Source organism: Homo sapiens, chromosome 2 (assembly GCF_000001405.40).
Source record: "Homo sapiens chromosome 2, GRCh38.p14 Primary Assembly".
NCBI lineage: Eukaryota > Metazoa > Chordata > Mammalia > Primates > Hominidae > Homo > Homo sapiens.
In genome coordinates, this window is record NC_000002.12 from 157,621,447 (window position 1) to 157,635,571 (window position 14,125).

General features: G+C 40.8%; 1 protein-coding gene across 3 annotated transcripts in view, besides 1 other annotated feature; it reads right to left on the bottom strand.

The window, feature by feature from the left end:
• Positions 1 to 7,418, bottom strand: part of ACVR1C (activin A receptor type 1C) — a 102,098-nt gene extending 94,680 nt beyond the window's left edge. For all 3 annotated transcript variants that reach the window (NM_001111033.2, NM_001111032.2, NM_145259.3), the window contains exon 1: positions 7,126 to 7,418. In NM_001111033.2, coding sequence (NP_001104503.1) covers positions 7,126 to 7,198 — 73 coding nt within the window. In that variant the 5' untranslated portion in view covers positions 7,199 to 7,418. The remainder of the gene's footprint in view (positions 1 to 7,125) is intronic.
• Positions 7,133 to 7,362: a silencer, noted in NCBI's record as "silent region_12029". NCBI's record gives its function as "represses an Ori minimal core promoter by ATAC-STARR-seq in GM12878 lymphoblastoid cells {active_cell/tissue: GM12878}" and the evidence as "EXISTENCE:reporter gene assay evidence [ECO:0000049][PMID:35858748]".

The following is a 14,125-nucleotide window of genomic DNA, read 5'->3' on the forward strand; positions in this document are numbered from 1 at the left end:
GGATCCCTAAGTAGGAGGAGTAGTGATTTGTATTGTTCGGGTTTCAGGGAACCAAGTGGCCCACATGCTTTAGGGATCCAGCTTTCAAAGAACAAGAAAAACAAGGGGCTCATGGTCATGGCTATGTCTTCCTTCTTTTCCACAGCAAGTGTGGGAAGGGTACAACCTGCTTCCTTGGTAGAAGAGATCCCGCCACCTCTTTCCACAGACTTTCTACTTTTTCCCTCACCTAGCAGTCGCCCCTGAAATTATTGCCTGGAACTCCTGCCAGTTTCCATGAGACCTGGACTAATGCGAGGTATTGCAAATAGAGGTCCCTTGCTCCACAGCCTCTATGGCTTCATTTTGCCAGGACTGAATAGCCTTTCAATGGTTTCCTGGAGTTAGAATCCAGGGTTCGGGTTTATCACAGCTCCTCTACCTTTATCCTTGGGCTATTTAGTTGTTGAAAAGAAGAGCGTATTCAAGTTTGCCATGCTACTGGGGACAAAAGCTCCAGGTAATAAGAAAAAGTTACTTTGCCTTGTTTCACCTCCTTTTTCTAGATGTCACCTCTTAACTGAAGATGAGACTCAGCAGCTAGTGTTTGGGTATTCCTAGGTCCCATTAGCAAAAGAGTCATTTGTGTATCATTTATGAACATATCTCAATTTCTTAAACATACTATCCCAATTTCTTCAACAAGGTAAGGATAAATCTTGAGATTTTGACTATTGACTGTGAAAAATATAAGACTTAGAAGACCAAAGCAATGGAAAACCAAGAAGATACTATAAGGTATAACTAATGACGTTCTTCACAGAAATAGAAAAAAAAATCCTAAAATTTATATGGAACCACAAGAGACCCAGAATAGCCAAAGCTATCCTAAGGAAAAAAGGACAAAACTGGAAGAATCCCATTATCTGACTTCAAATTATACTGCAGAGCTACAGTAACCAAAACAGCATGGTACTGACATAAAAACAGACACATAGACCAATGCAACAGAATAAAGAACCCAGAAACAAATCCACACACCTACAGTGAACTCATCTTTAACACAGGTGCCAAGAACATACACTGGGGAAAGGATAGTCTCTTCAATAAATGGTCCTGGGAAAACTGGATATCCATATGCAGAAGAATGTAACTAGACCCCTATCTCTTACTATATACAAAAACAGTCAAATCAAAATGAATTAAACACCTCAAACTATGAAACTACTACAAGAAAACATTGGGGAAAATCTCCAGGACATCAGTTTGTGCAAAGATTTCCTGAGTAATAGCCCACCAGCACAGATGCCCAAAGCAAACATGGACAAATGGGATCACATCAAGTTAAAAAGATTCTGCATGGTAAAGGATACAATCAACAAAGTGAAAAGACAATCCACAGAATGAGAGAAAATATTTGCAAACTACCCCTCTCACAAGGGATTAATATCCAGAATATATAAGGAGCTAAAATAACACTGTAGGGAAAAAAAATCTAATAATCCAATAAAAAAATTGACAAAAGATTTGAATAGCCTTTTCCCAAAAGATGACATACAAATGGCAAACAGCACATGAAAAGGTGCTCAACATCACTGATCACCAAAGAAATGCAAATAAAAACTACAATGATATCATCTCACCCCATTTAAAATGGCTTACATTCCGAAGACAGGCAATAATGAATGCTGGCAAGGATGTGGAAAAAAGCGAACATTTGTACACTGTTGGTAGGATTGTAAATTAGTACAACCACTAAGAAGAACCCTTTGGAGGTTCCTCAAAAAATTAAAACTTGAGCTACCATATGATCCAGCAATCCCACTGATGGATATAACCCAAAAGAAAGAAAATTAGTATATGGAAGAGATCTGCACTTCCATGTTTGTTGTAGCCCTATTTACAATAGCTAAGATTAGGAAGCAACCTAAGTGTCCATCAACAGACGAATGGATAACAAAAATCTGGTATATATACACAATGGAGTACTATTCAGCCATAAAAAAGAATGAGATCCAGTCATTTGCAACAACATGGATGGAAGTGGAGATCATTATGTTAACTGAAATAAGCCAGGAACAGAAAGACAAACATGACATGTTCTCACTTATTTGTGGGATCTAAAAATCAAACTCATGGTCAGAGAGAATAGAAAGCTGGTTAGCAGAGGCTGGGAAGGGTAGTAGGGGGTTGGTGGGGGAGGTGGGGATGGTTAATGGGTACAAAAATATGGAAAGAATGAATAGGACCTACCATTTGATAGCACAATAGGGTGACTATAGTCAGTAATAATTACATATTTTAAAATAAAGAATGTAATTGGATTGTTTGTAACTCAAAGGATAAAATGCTTGAGGGGATGGATACCCCATTTTCCATGATGTGCTTATTTCACACTGCATGCCTGTATCAAAACATCTCATGTACCCCATACATATATATATATCTACTATGCACCCACAAAAATTTTTTTGAATAATTTAAATTTTTTTAATGATAAGGCATAATACATAGCACACTCTTTATGCTTAGAATTTTTCCTTTGTTTTGTTCTGTTTACTAATTATACTTGAAAATTAATTCTCTTGTTCTATTATTTATTAAAATAAACTCTTTATATATATGTCAACATAATCTGAGCTTTTTAATGATCCATGCCTGCAGTTGTCCACTTATAGGACACTACAGATCTCAAATTGAAGATAACATTAATCATTTGGTAGGTCAAGACTAAGCTAGAGCAGGAACTAAACAGCTTCAGGATGATATTTATGTATCCAAGCCCCTTCCCCAAAATCTTGTCATTGCTCTCTTAGGAACATGCTCTAAAACTTCAAACTATATCAGAATAACAGGTCCCACAGGGCTCAGCAGCCTCCTTATTCCTGCCTCTATCCAATCTCCTCTCCTCTTAACCTTATTTACGGCAAGAGATGCAAGTAGTGCCAAGAAAAGTACAACAAAGTGGGTCTTGGCTACTGCCTGAAAGCATTTCCCCAAAAGAGAAACATGAAAGTGTATTCAAAAGGAAACTACTCCAAAATCACATCTGAAAATAACCACTTCCAAAATACAGCGAACTTGGGAAAAACCAACTGCTTTCATGCAACAATCAAGGGAATCAAGAGTTATTCTTGTTTTTTTCACCCATATTTTCATGTCTAGATACTCATGTAGGATTGGAGAAAACTAGGTATCCTTTCAGGTTCACACAGAAGAGAGATATCCTGTGCAAAGAGTTGGGAGTGACACATTGGGAGATGCACATGAAGACAGTAACGGAGCTAGAACAGGCGAGGGTTTTAGAGCTGAGGACTAGAAAATAGGTCTTCACTTCTCTTTTTAATAAAAGAGCCAGAAATACATGCATCAGGAATGGTTTATCTCACAACAGGACTTCTTTTATGTTGGTTTGCAAGATAAAAGTACAGAACACCCAGTTAAATTGGAATTAAACAGCAATTAATTTTTAATATACTTGTGTTCCATGTCATACTTGTGACACACTTATACTAAAGAGGTATTCATTGTTTATCTCAAATTCAATCTAACAAGGTATTCTCTGCCTTATTTGCTAAGTCTGTGGCTCTATTTAATGCGTCTTTGAAAAGTTATCAGTAAATGCCCTTGGCTCTCAATTTTTTATCATCAGTCCATATTTATCCCCTGAACTTCAGACCCAGAAAACCAATTGCTTACTTAACATCTCCATTTCAGCATCTGAGAGGCATTTTGAACTCAACATATTCAAAACTGAGCTCCTGTGATCTGTCAGCACCAACCCTTCTCTCCCCAGACCAGCTTTTCCTGCAGTCTGCCCCACCCCAATTAAGGGTCCATTCTTCCATTGCTTGGGTCAAAAATGTAGCATCATCCTTAGCTACTCACTTTCACACCTCAAAGTCCTTTATTTTTTGTATGAGTTTAGCAATTCAGAGGAAATCTCTAAGCATAGTTTCTCCTGGGCCAGAGATGTCTTCCTTGGAACCAGGGAGCCTCTTGCCACATCTGTGTCAATCAACCAATAAATGACTATGCTTAAAGAAGGGCAAAGATGGCAACATCTTTTGCATTTATAAACTCAGTCAGCCCTGAGCTTTCACTTTCACTTCCAGCAACACTGTGGAAAACTCTTAGTGGAAACTGCTAACTATTGTTTGCAGTGGGGGTGAGGGGGTGCAGAGGGGTGCAGGGGGGTGGGGGGAAGAATTTCATTACTTGAAACCCCCACTCTCACCCTGGTTATTAAGGAAATATTTATTCCATTTTTGGAGTAACAACATAGGGCTTTCTGGACTCTTAATAATCCTTTCTGGACCAGAGGACAAAGGAGTTTCAAGAAATTAGAAGAGAATGCACAATATGTAAATCTATGTAACATCCAAATCACAGCTTCAAAGTAGAGAACTCCAGGACATTTTCTGCCACTTCTTTTTTGGGTACACATGGTGAATATTGTGAAGCCATGTCAGGTCTCTCTTATCAAACATCAAGGCATCCAGAACCTACATAACCAGAGCAACTCAGAGGAGCCTGAGTTTTTCGTTGCTCTTGTTTTTAGAGACGGTGCCTCACTGTGTCACCCAGGCTGGAGTGCAGTGGTGTGATCATGGCTCACTGCAATCTTGAACTCCTGGTCTCAAGCAATTCTGTCTCAGCCTCCCAAGTAGCTAGGACTACAGGTGTGTGCCACCAGAACTGGCTAATTGTTTTTAAATTTTTTGTAGAGATGGTGTCTCACTATGTTGCCTGAGCTGGTCTTGAACTTGCTGGCCTCAAGCAATCCTCACACCTCGGCCTCCCAAAGTACTGGGATTAGAGGCGTGAGCCACTGCACCCAGCCAGCCTGATTTTTTTAATTCCAGTCCAGACCAATAAACAGTTTTTCTAAGTCTCTACCAGCTGTTATCTTCTGAGATTCTCAAAAAGGAGCAATGGACACCCCTAAGGTGACAACAATGTGGGGAATGAGCAGCCAAAGTAAAAAAGGTTTACTGGTTTATCATGTGTTCAGATATTTAAAGTCGTAGGCCTGCTCTGCAGATCCAGATGAAAGGTGGTGCCTTCTGTCACACAGTTTCACTGACTATGTCATTACATCAAGAACAACTTCTCATATAACATTCCAACAACAGCAAGTACATGTCATAAATGGCCAATATGATTAACAGTATAATTTGTAAAAGTGACCAGGTAAAAATACAGTTGGCTAACCATGTCATAAAACCAATTGAAAAAGTGAAAAGCAAAACAAAACTACCTTGAATCTTTCTACTAAATAGCCAGAGTTTTATATAAAGTTAAGAATAAATACTATAAGTAGCAATATACATTGTTAACGTGGGACACAGAGGGGTAAAAACTTCTTAAGGAGATTTGAAAATGATTGCACTTGACATAGAAAAGTTTTTCATAAAAGTTCAGCTTCAATAAATACATCTCTACTATATTATTCCATATCATGCATTTTTCTTAGACTTCAAATTTTAAGTGAGCGACTTTGAATGGATTATCTTTTTTTTATTTTTTGCATATTTCAATGTCAAAAGTTTCCATGCCTTTTCAAGAACATGAGGCATGTTGCTATGCTCAAGGTCTCTGAAATTTTCTAAAGATTCTGGGTATACAACAAAATATACCCTTGAAGCTACATTTTAAAAAAATTGAATCTGTTTTGTAGAAATGTGTGCAGCCAAGTTATCAGCTCCTCCAAATAAAAAGAGTTGTACAGACAGCCTCCAGAGGCAGTTTCACCCCATCAAAACTGTGATACCTTGAAGACTTTTTTTTGTAAACTCTATTAAATTGTCAAGAGCACTTTCAGTATCCCAAGTTAGCAGAGTTTTCACCCATTTTTTAAAGACTTTCCCATAGTTGGTTTTCTCCCACTTATAAATTTATTAACTCTAAATGCAAATATTTCACTTTATCCCATCATCTTTCCGACAGTCTTGGGCTGTTTTCCTAAAAGATAACTGGAATGTTTTAATCCTCAGATTTTGTCAATTAATCCTTTTCAATAATCAAATTTATATTTGAATATTGTATTTAGTGATTCTCTCAGGCCATCTGAAACACTGAAATCTGTACATGACAGCAATCATATCATTCAAATCATTCTCTTGCACATGTCACTAAGAGGAAAACGACCCACCATGAATATAGCTATTAATGTCAAACAGATTGTCATCTGGGAAAACAAAATGCATCAAAATCAGCTTCGGACAAAACACAGCTCTATGGGAAAACACCAGATTTTTATGTGCAAATGTCTTCAATGTCTGATAGAAATTTTTAAAGAATGAGTTAGCAAAGAATCTGCTCCTCCTCTGCATAATCCAGGACAATGTAATGAAAATAGTTTTCGAGGTAAAGGGCTTTTAGTCACAGCATATTATGATTTTACCAAAGATGCATTTGCCCCACTTTCTAGTAAACATTATAAAGAAACGTCTGGCTTCTAGATTGGGTAGAGGGCTCTATTTAGCCTATCAAGGCACAGACCTGTTATAAACTCTGGGGCGCTTGCCAGAATTTTTTTCCCCAGGAACTCTGAGTAAAGATCGTACCTCGAAAGCAATGTGCGTTGCAAACCACACAGATTTAAGCTCCCACTCTCGCCTCCATAGCTTGGCATCTGCGGCTTTTGGGGTATTCCCCGCCTCCTAAAACTCAGACTAAATCACCACCTCCCACCACCACCATGCCACCATCCTTGAGCAGCTCTCAGGGGCTTAGCACAGAGCGCGTCCGACGCATACCTGCAGCCCTCCAGGTCCCTGCAGGGTGAACCCAGCTCCCAGCCATGCGCGCACCCACAAACGCTCTCCTATTTTCTCCGCTGCAAACTGCCCACAAATTAGTCACCCACCTCACCCCTACTACTTATTCCCCCACGTCCCTGCTGCCTTTTCCCTCTTCCGGGCGGCTTCGTCCCCAACACACCTGTCTACCCCTACGGCTGCCAGACGTCAGGTGCCCACGCTGCACCCTATCCCGCGCCCCCTCAATCCGACTGGCGCTTCCCTGTCCGCCCCGAAGGTCAGTTTGCTCGGAGCACCCCCTGTCCCCCACCCCCGTGCTCACCCGCAGACCTCCTCCCAGCTCCCACCCTCGCGGGCGTCGGGAGAGAAACCAGCACCGTACCTGGCGAGAGCTCGGCGGCCGCTGCGAGCAGCAGGAGAGCCTGGCGGAGCGCTGAGCAGAGCGCCCGGGTCATCGCCACCAGGCGGCCGCGCCGGGGCTGCGAGGCCCCAGAGCAGAGCGAGGCAGCCGGGGCAGCACGGCCCGCTTTGAAGTTCCCGGGCCGCGGGAGGGGAGCGCGGCACCGACACCCTTTTGAAGTGCGCGGTTGGCTCTAGTCAGTGTGGGCGCCCCCCTCCCCGGCCGCCCCCATCCCACGCCCCCTGCGGCTGGCGGTGCGCGGCGCTCCTGCCACTGGCCCCGCAGCCGGGCGGGGAGCGGGTGGTGGGGCGGGCGGCAGAGCCCGCCCCTGCCGCGCCTCCGCCCCCTGCGCCCTCTCGCAGCCGCCCGGGCCTGCTGCTGCAGGGCAGGCAGGCAAAGGCGGCCCTGTGCCCGGCAGTGAGATCGCCCAGAGCTGGGGCGAAGAAAGAGGGGGCGTGGGGAAGCAGTGCGGAGCCTCCGGGACTAGATACTCAGGAATGGGGCTTCTCACGGGAGGAAAAGCCCCACTGAGACTTTAGGGAAACTTCAACTACGCGGCGATTGCGCCCAGGTGATCCGCTCTATAACCTCCCGCAGAAGAGCCAGCCTCCTAGCTCTCCTGACGTTTGTTGTCCAGGGTCCTTAAGTCCAACCAGGTTGCGCTGTGAGAGCCCCGCGGGCTTCCTACTGGCTTGTCCCACCCCTGCGTCCTGGCCATTTGTGCCTCTGGGGAAGGGCGCCCTCTCTGTTCATCCCTGGAAATGACCAGTTGTCCGACTGCCTTCTGGACCTATAAGCTTTGGTTTAACAAACTTCATCTCTTCTTGGGTGCCTTTTGGGAACCCTTCCCTCTATGAATGGCGACCAAAGCTGGACCACCTGCGCCAGGTGATGTGGCCATCTACAATGTGTGACCCACGTCTGGTGGTAAAAGACCTCACCTATGGAAGATAATTTCGGCAGCTACAACTTCAGCAATTGAAGAACTAAGGGAACATACACACACACACACACACACACACACACACACACACACACACACGGATTAAGGGAAGGGGAAGAATTGTTTAAAGTAGTATATGAAAAACTTGTTTGAGTATTGTTTAATCCCTAGAGGCTAACTGTCAAACGGGTGCCTGAAAATATAAGGCCTGGATTGTGCCTGAAAATATAAGGACAACGGCAACATTACCAATTTATAGAAATTAAATTCAATTCACCTATGGAGCCTGAACATTAAAGTGAATGGGATTATTTCAATCTGAACAACGCGAAAAAGCAAGAATACAATACTGGTGTTATTACTACTGTTGGGGGTTCCTTGAAAAGTGATAGCGTCATAAAAATTGCTTTAGAGTAAAACATTTCTTGCTTCTTCACCTAGCTCAGGACTAAATTATATGCTAGGTGTTCTAAGTTCTATGAAAGACCTATGGTGAAATGTTGTATGTAATTGACTTTATTATCAAAGGATCACAGTATGGGAGATGAGATGGTTGTTGGACTTTGAGATGTGGGTGGCATCCTGAGGATCTTTTCTGCCACCATCTTATATTCCTAAGCACAAAAAAACTTTGTTCTTGTTTTATCCTGGATCCAAACAAACAAAAAACTGGAGATGTGGGACAAATCTGAGCCCTTTCAGACACCCACAAAACAGATGCTTTTTTAAAAAGGCAAGAAACTGCTAGGACACATTATATTTTGTCTGGTTTGGCTTGCTAATTATTTGATAACTGCACCTTAAATTGTGATCTGCCAATAGATCATGATACCGGGAGCCTAAATAGCAGAATGTAATGAACTTTCTGGGTCTGCTTCCTCAAAAGTAAATGGAACTTAATTCCTCCCTATTTCCCAGAACTTTGACCAGGATCAAAAAGGGTAGTGTATGAGAGAGCATTGTTAAACCATACACATTACAACAATGGCAGGGATTTACTCCCCACATACTTATTTTGTCTCTAAAGCAACATCCTCTGCAAGTTGTAAAGCTCTCATTTGCAAAAAAAAAAAAAAAAAAAAAAAAAAGGCCGGTCGCGGTGGCTCACGCCTGTAATCCCAGCACCTTGGGAGGCCGAGACGGGCGGATCACGAGGTCAGGAGATCGAGACCATCCTGGCTAATATGGTGAAACACCGTCTCTACTAAAAATACAAAAAATTAGCCAGGTGTGGTGGCGGGTGCCTGTAGTCCCAGCTACTCGGGAGGCTGAGGCAGGAGAATGACGTGAACCCAGGAGGCAGAGCTTGCAGTGAGCCGAAATGGCGCCACTGCACTCCAGCCTGGGCGACAGAGCAAGACTCCGTCTCCAAAAAAAAAAAAAAAAAAAGCTTATTATTCCAAGAAGTCAAATATTGAATAACTCCAATATTCTACACAAACTCAATGCTTTCCTCTTAGTCTAATGGTGCGTTATCAACACGGTAGCCACTAGCCACATGTGAATATTGAGCCCCTGAAATGTGCCTAGACTGAATCGACATATGATGTAAATAAAAAATACATGCTAGATCCAAAGATTTAGTACAACAATAAGAATGTAAAAAATACATTACTAATAATTTTATCTTGCTTAAATGTTGCAATGATAGTATTTTGGACATAGAGTTGAATAAAATATATTATTAAATCAATATTACCTATTTCTGTTTACTTTTTAGTGTGACTACCAGAAAATTTTAAATTACACAGGTGGCCCACATTACAACTCTACTGGACAGTACTGGTCTAAAGAATCCTTAACAGATGGCAAGGATCCTTACCTTGTCTTAAGAACAGTATATATATAGAAAAAAAAAAGAGTAGTTAGGTATCTTGTCAGTCAGTATATGGCCAGCCAATAAAGGAATCAGGATCTTTTAAATTATTGGTTCAAAGTTCTGTAAAACATCAAGAAAGGTTAGTACATCAAAAATCTAAGTACTTTATTTGTAGGAATATTTTAAACTAGGTCTTTAAATACCATTTTCCCCACCCTCTTGTGCATGTTCCAATATCAGTACTATGAAAGCTTTGCAGTAAGATGTTAACTACTCTCAGTGTATTGAATCCTAATAGCTAGTAAAGTGTACTCTTAGGAAATTATAAATATTCGTTATATGCTTGAGTTCTTAATGCCACACTCATGGCAACCAAGAAAAGATCTTAGTCCTTATAATGTGTCCCAATTATACTTTATTTACACACACACACACACGTCCATGGAAATTAATCCGGTCTTAATCCAATGTCTTTTGAAATGAACCATTAATAAAAAATACTCTTTGGACCATATTTAGTTGTTCATGTCATTGAATATAAACAATAGAAATGCATTATTCAAGATGTGATATAACACGTCTTTCTTTCATATTTTTGCACATAACAGAAAAAGATTTACATGCAAGATTCTTTTATTTCACTGGAAAGAATTTACATGCAAATGTGTTTTTTCAAGATTTAACATCCCCCCCGCCACCTTAATCATCTATTTGTACATATTCATTGCCATAGCAACATTACATCATGACTCCTGTATTCTCATAAACCAAAAGAAAACAACAACAAATAATTGAGGGGTTCATAGCCCATCAGCAAAACAGATTTTGTCTGAGTAAATCTTATATAAGCAAGGAAACCAGGTATAGGAACTGTAAATTGTAAAGATTTGATACATTGCAGAATAACATCCCAAATTAATAAGGCAGAGAATGGTGTGTAATAATTGAGCTTTGAAAAAGACTATCTGTTGGGTGTGGTTTTTTGTTTGGGATTTTTTTTTTATCATGCAGGTTCCTTTTATTATTATCCTTTCCAGAATCTCCAAACCCATGCATCTTAATTTCTCATTTCATCTTGGAACATGAATTTATCATGGAATGAGCATATGGTGAGGAGGCATGCTACAATAATTTGCTATGCACTATCAAGGCCTAATCTTTTCTCATTTTACTGCATTTTTCCTTCCCCAAACTCACATTACCCCTACAGAAGTGCATGGCACACTCAGCTTCACTCATCTCGTCTCATCTCTTAATCCCAGAAATCTTTGCTTTGGGAAATCTTGGTTTCACTTCTATTCTTTTTTTTTTCTTCTTAATTTCCATTCTATGAAAATACTCATGTGTTTCAGGACCTTTATTGAAATTTTGCAATATGTGTCCTCAATGCATCTACTTCATGAGGCAGCTGTGGTTTCATAAAGAAGAAAAATATGGACCCCTCTGTGGACATGGTTAACAAGGAGATATCAAACTGTTTCTTCGCTCAACTGCTGCTGCTAAATCTTTTTTTTTTTTTTTTTTTTTTTTTGAGACAGAGTCTCGCTCTGTCGCCCAGGCTGGAGTGCAGTGGCGGGATCTCGGCTCACTGCAAGCTCCGCCTCCCGGGTTCACGCCATTCTCCTGCCTCAGCCTCCCAAGTAGCTGGGACTACAGGCGCCCGCCACCACGCCCGGCTAATTTTTTGTATTTTTAGTAGAGACGGGGTTTCACCGTTTTAGCCGGGATGGTCTCGATCTCCTGACCTCGTGATCCGCCCGCCTCGGCCTCCCAAAGTGCTGGGATTACAGGCGTGAGCCACCGCGCCCGGCCGCTGCTAAATCTTAAAGTCTATTTTCAGTACTTACATTATCTGTTTTCACCATCTTCCAAAGTGGTTACACTCCTTCACTAATTTTCTTTTCTTTATTTTTAAATTATTTTTATTTTTATAGATTCAAGGGATGTAAGTGCAGTTTTGTTACATGCATGTAATACATAGTGGTGAAGTCTGTGGTTTTAGTGTACCCAGCACCTGAACAGTGAATACTGTGCCCAATAGGTACTTTTTCAACCCTTACCACCAGGCTCCTTCATCCGCCCCTCTTTGGGAGTCTCCAGTGTCTATTTTTCCCATCTTCATGTCCATGTGTACCCTTTGTTTAGTTCCCACTTACACGTGAAAACATGCAGTATTTGATTATCTGTTTCTGAGTTATTTCACTTAAGATAATGGCCTCCAGCTCCATCCATGTTGCTGCAAAGGACATAATTTCATTCTTTTTATGGCTGATTAGTATTCCATGATGTATAGATACCACATTTTCTTTATCCAACCATCTGTTGATGGACACTTAGACTGAATCCAGGACTTTGTTATTGTTAATAGTGCTGTGATAAATATACAAGTTCAGGTGTATTTTTGATATAATGATTTATCTTCTTTTGGGTACATACCCAGTAGTGAAATTGCTGGGTTGAATAGTAGTTCTATTTTCAGTTCTTTAAGAAACCTTCATATTGCTTTCCATAGAGGTCATACAAATTTACATTCCCACCAATAGTGTGTAAGTGTTCCCCTTTCTCCACCTCTTTGCCAACATCTGTTGATTTTGACTTTTTAATAATGGCCATTCTGACTGGTATAAAATGGTATCTCATTGCCTTACTGATTGTTATAGCCTGTTAATACTATTGATAGGGTATTTTCCCATAACTCAAATTTTGTCTGTTTTTTCTTTCACTGATCAATGTCAGTATGCTGGGCTGATAAGCTATATTCTATATAGGACCTATAAAAGGCAGGTCAGAGATTCAGTTCCAAGTAAGCAAGTCGCACCACTTGGATCATATTCTTAGAATGGGCCCATAATTACACCCTACCTGAATGAGGTCACAAGGATGTAAGAGAATTAGATGGCATAGTATAAGTCTATGACTTTCTGGGAAGACTCAAAGAAGTTAGTTTTTAAAAACCCCAGACAAAAACGTGAGGGTTCTGATTATCTTGACTGAAGTAAATGAGTCATTTAAAGCTGCTGTGTTAAAGGTGGCAGCCACCAGCCACTTGTGGCTACTGAGTACTTGAATGTCACTTGTCTAATTTGACATATACTGTATGAAATGCAAACTAGATTTCAAAGACTTAATACCAAAAAAAAGAAAGTTAAAGTATCTCAATAATGTTTATATTAATTACATTTTGAAATGATAATATTTTTGATATTTTGGGTTAAATAAATTATTAAAATTAATTTTACTTTTCTTACATTTTAATACAGCTATTAGATTATATATGTGGCTCTCATTATATTTCTACTGGATAATGCTCATCTAATGAATCCTTATTTAATATTAAAGATTATTTTTCCATACTTGAAATATACCAGCAGCAAGACTGTATGAGTCCATTCTCACACTGTTATGAAGAAATACCCAAGACTGGGTAATTTATAAAGAAAAGAGGTTTAATTGACTCACAGCTCTGCATGGCTAGGGAGGCCTCAGGAAACTTATAATCATGGCAAGGCCAGGTGCAGTGGCTCACATCTGTAATCCCAGCACTTTGGGAGGCCGAAGAGGGCAGATCACGAGGTCAGGAGATTGAGATCAGCCTGGCCAACATAGTGAAACCCTGTCTCTGCTAAAAATACAAAAAATTAGCCAGGCATGGTGGTGGTCGCCTGTAATCCCAGCTACCCTGCAGGCTGAAGCAGGAGGATCGCTTGAACCCAGGAGGCAGAAGTTGCAGTGAGCTGACATCGCGCCATTGCACTCTAGCAAGGGCAACAGCGCAAGACTCCATCTCAAAAAAAAAAAAAAATTCATGGCAGAAGGCACCTCTTCACAGGGTGGCAGGAGAGAGAATGAGTGCCAGCAGGGGAAATGCCAGACACTTATAAAACCATCAGATCTCGTGAGACTCACTCACTATCAAGAAAACAACATGGGGGGAAACTGCCCCCATGATTCAATCATCTCCCACCGAGTCCCTCCCGCAACACATGAGGATTATGGGATTACAATTCAAGATGAGATTTGGGTGGGGACATGATGCCAAGCCATATCAAAGATCTTTCTTCCAATCACATTGCTCCAAATGCAGTTATCTATTACTCTTTTCATTTATTCAATAATAATTCATATTCTGTCAATAAGCAAGTCACATTTATTTTTGTTTTCTGTTGTCTATTATCATGTTAGCTGTTATTACCATAGTTGGAGCTGGAGTAATTTCATAC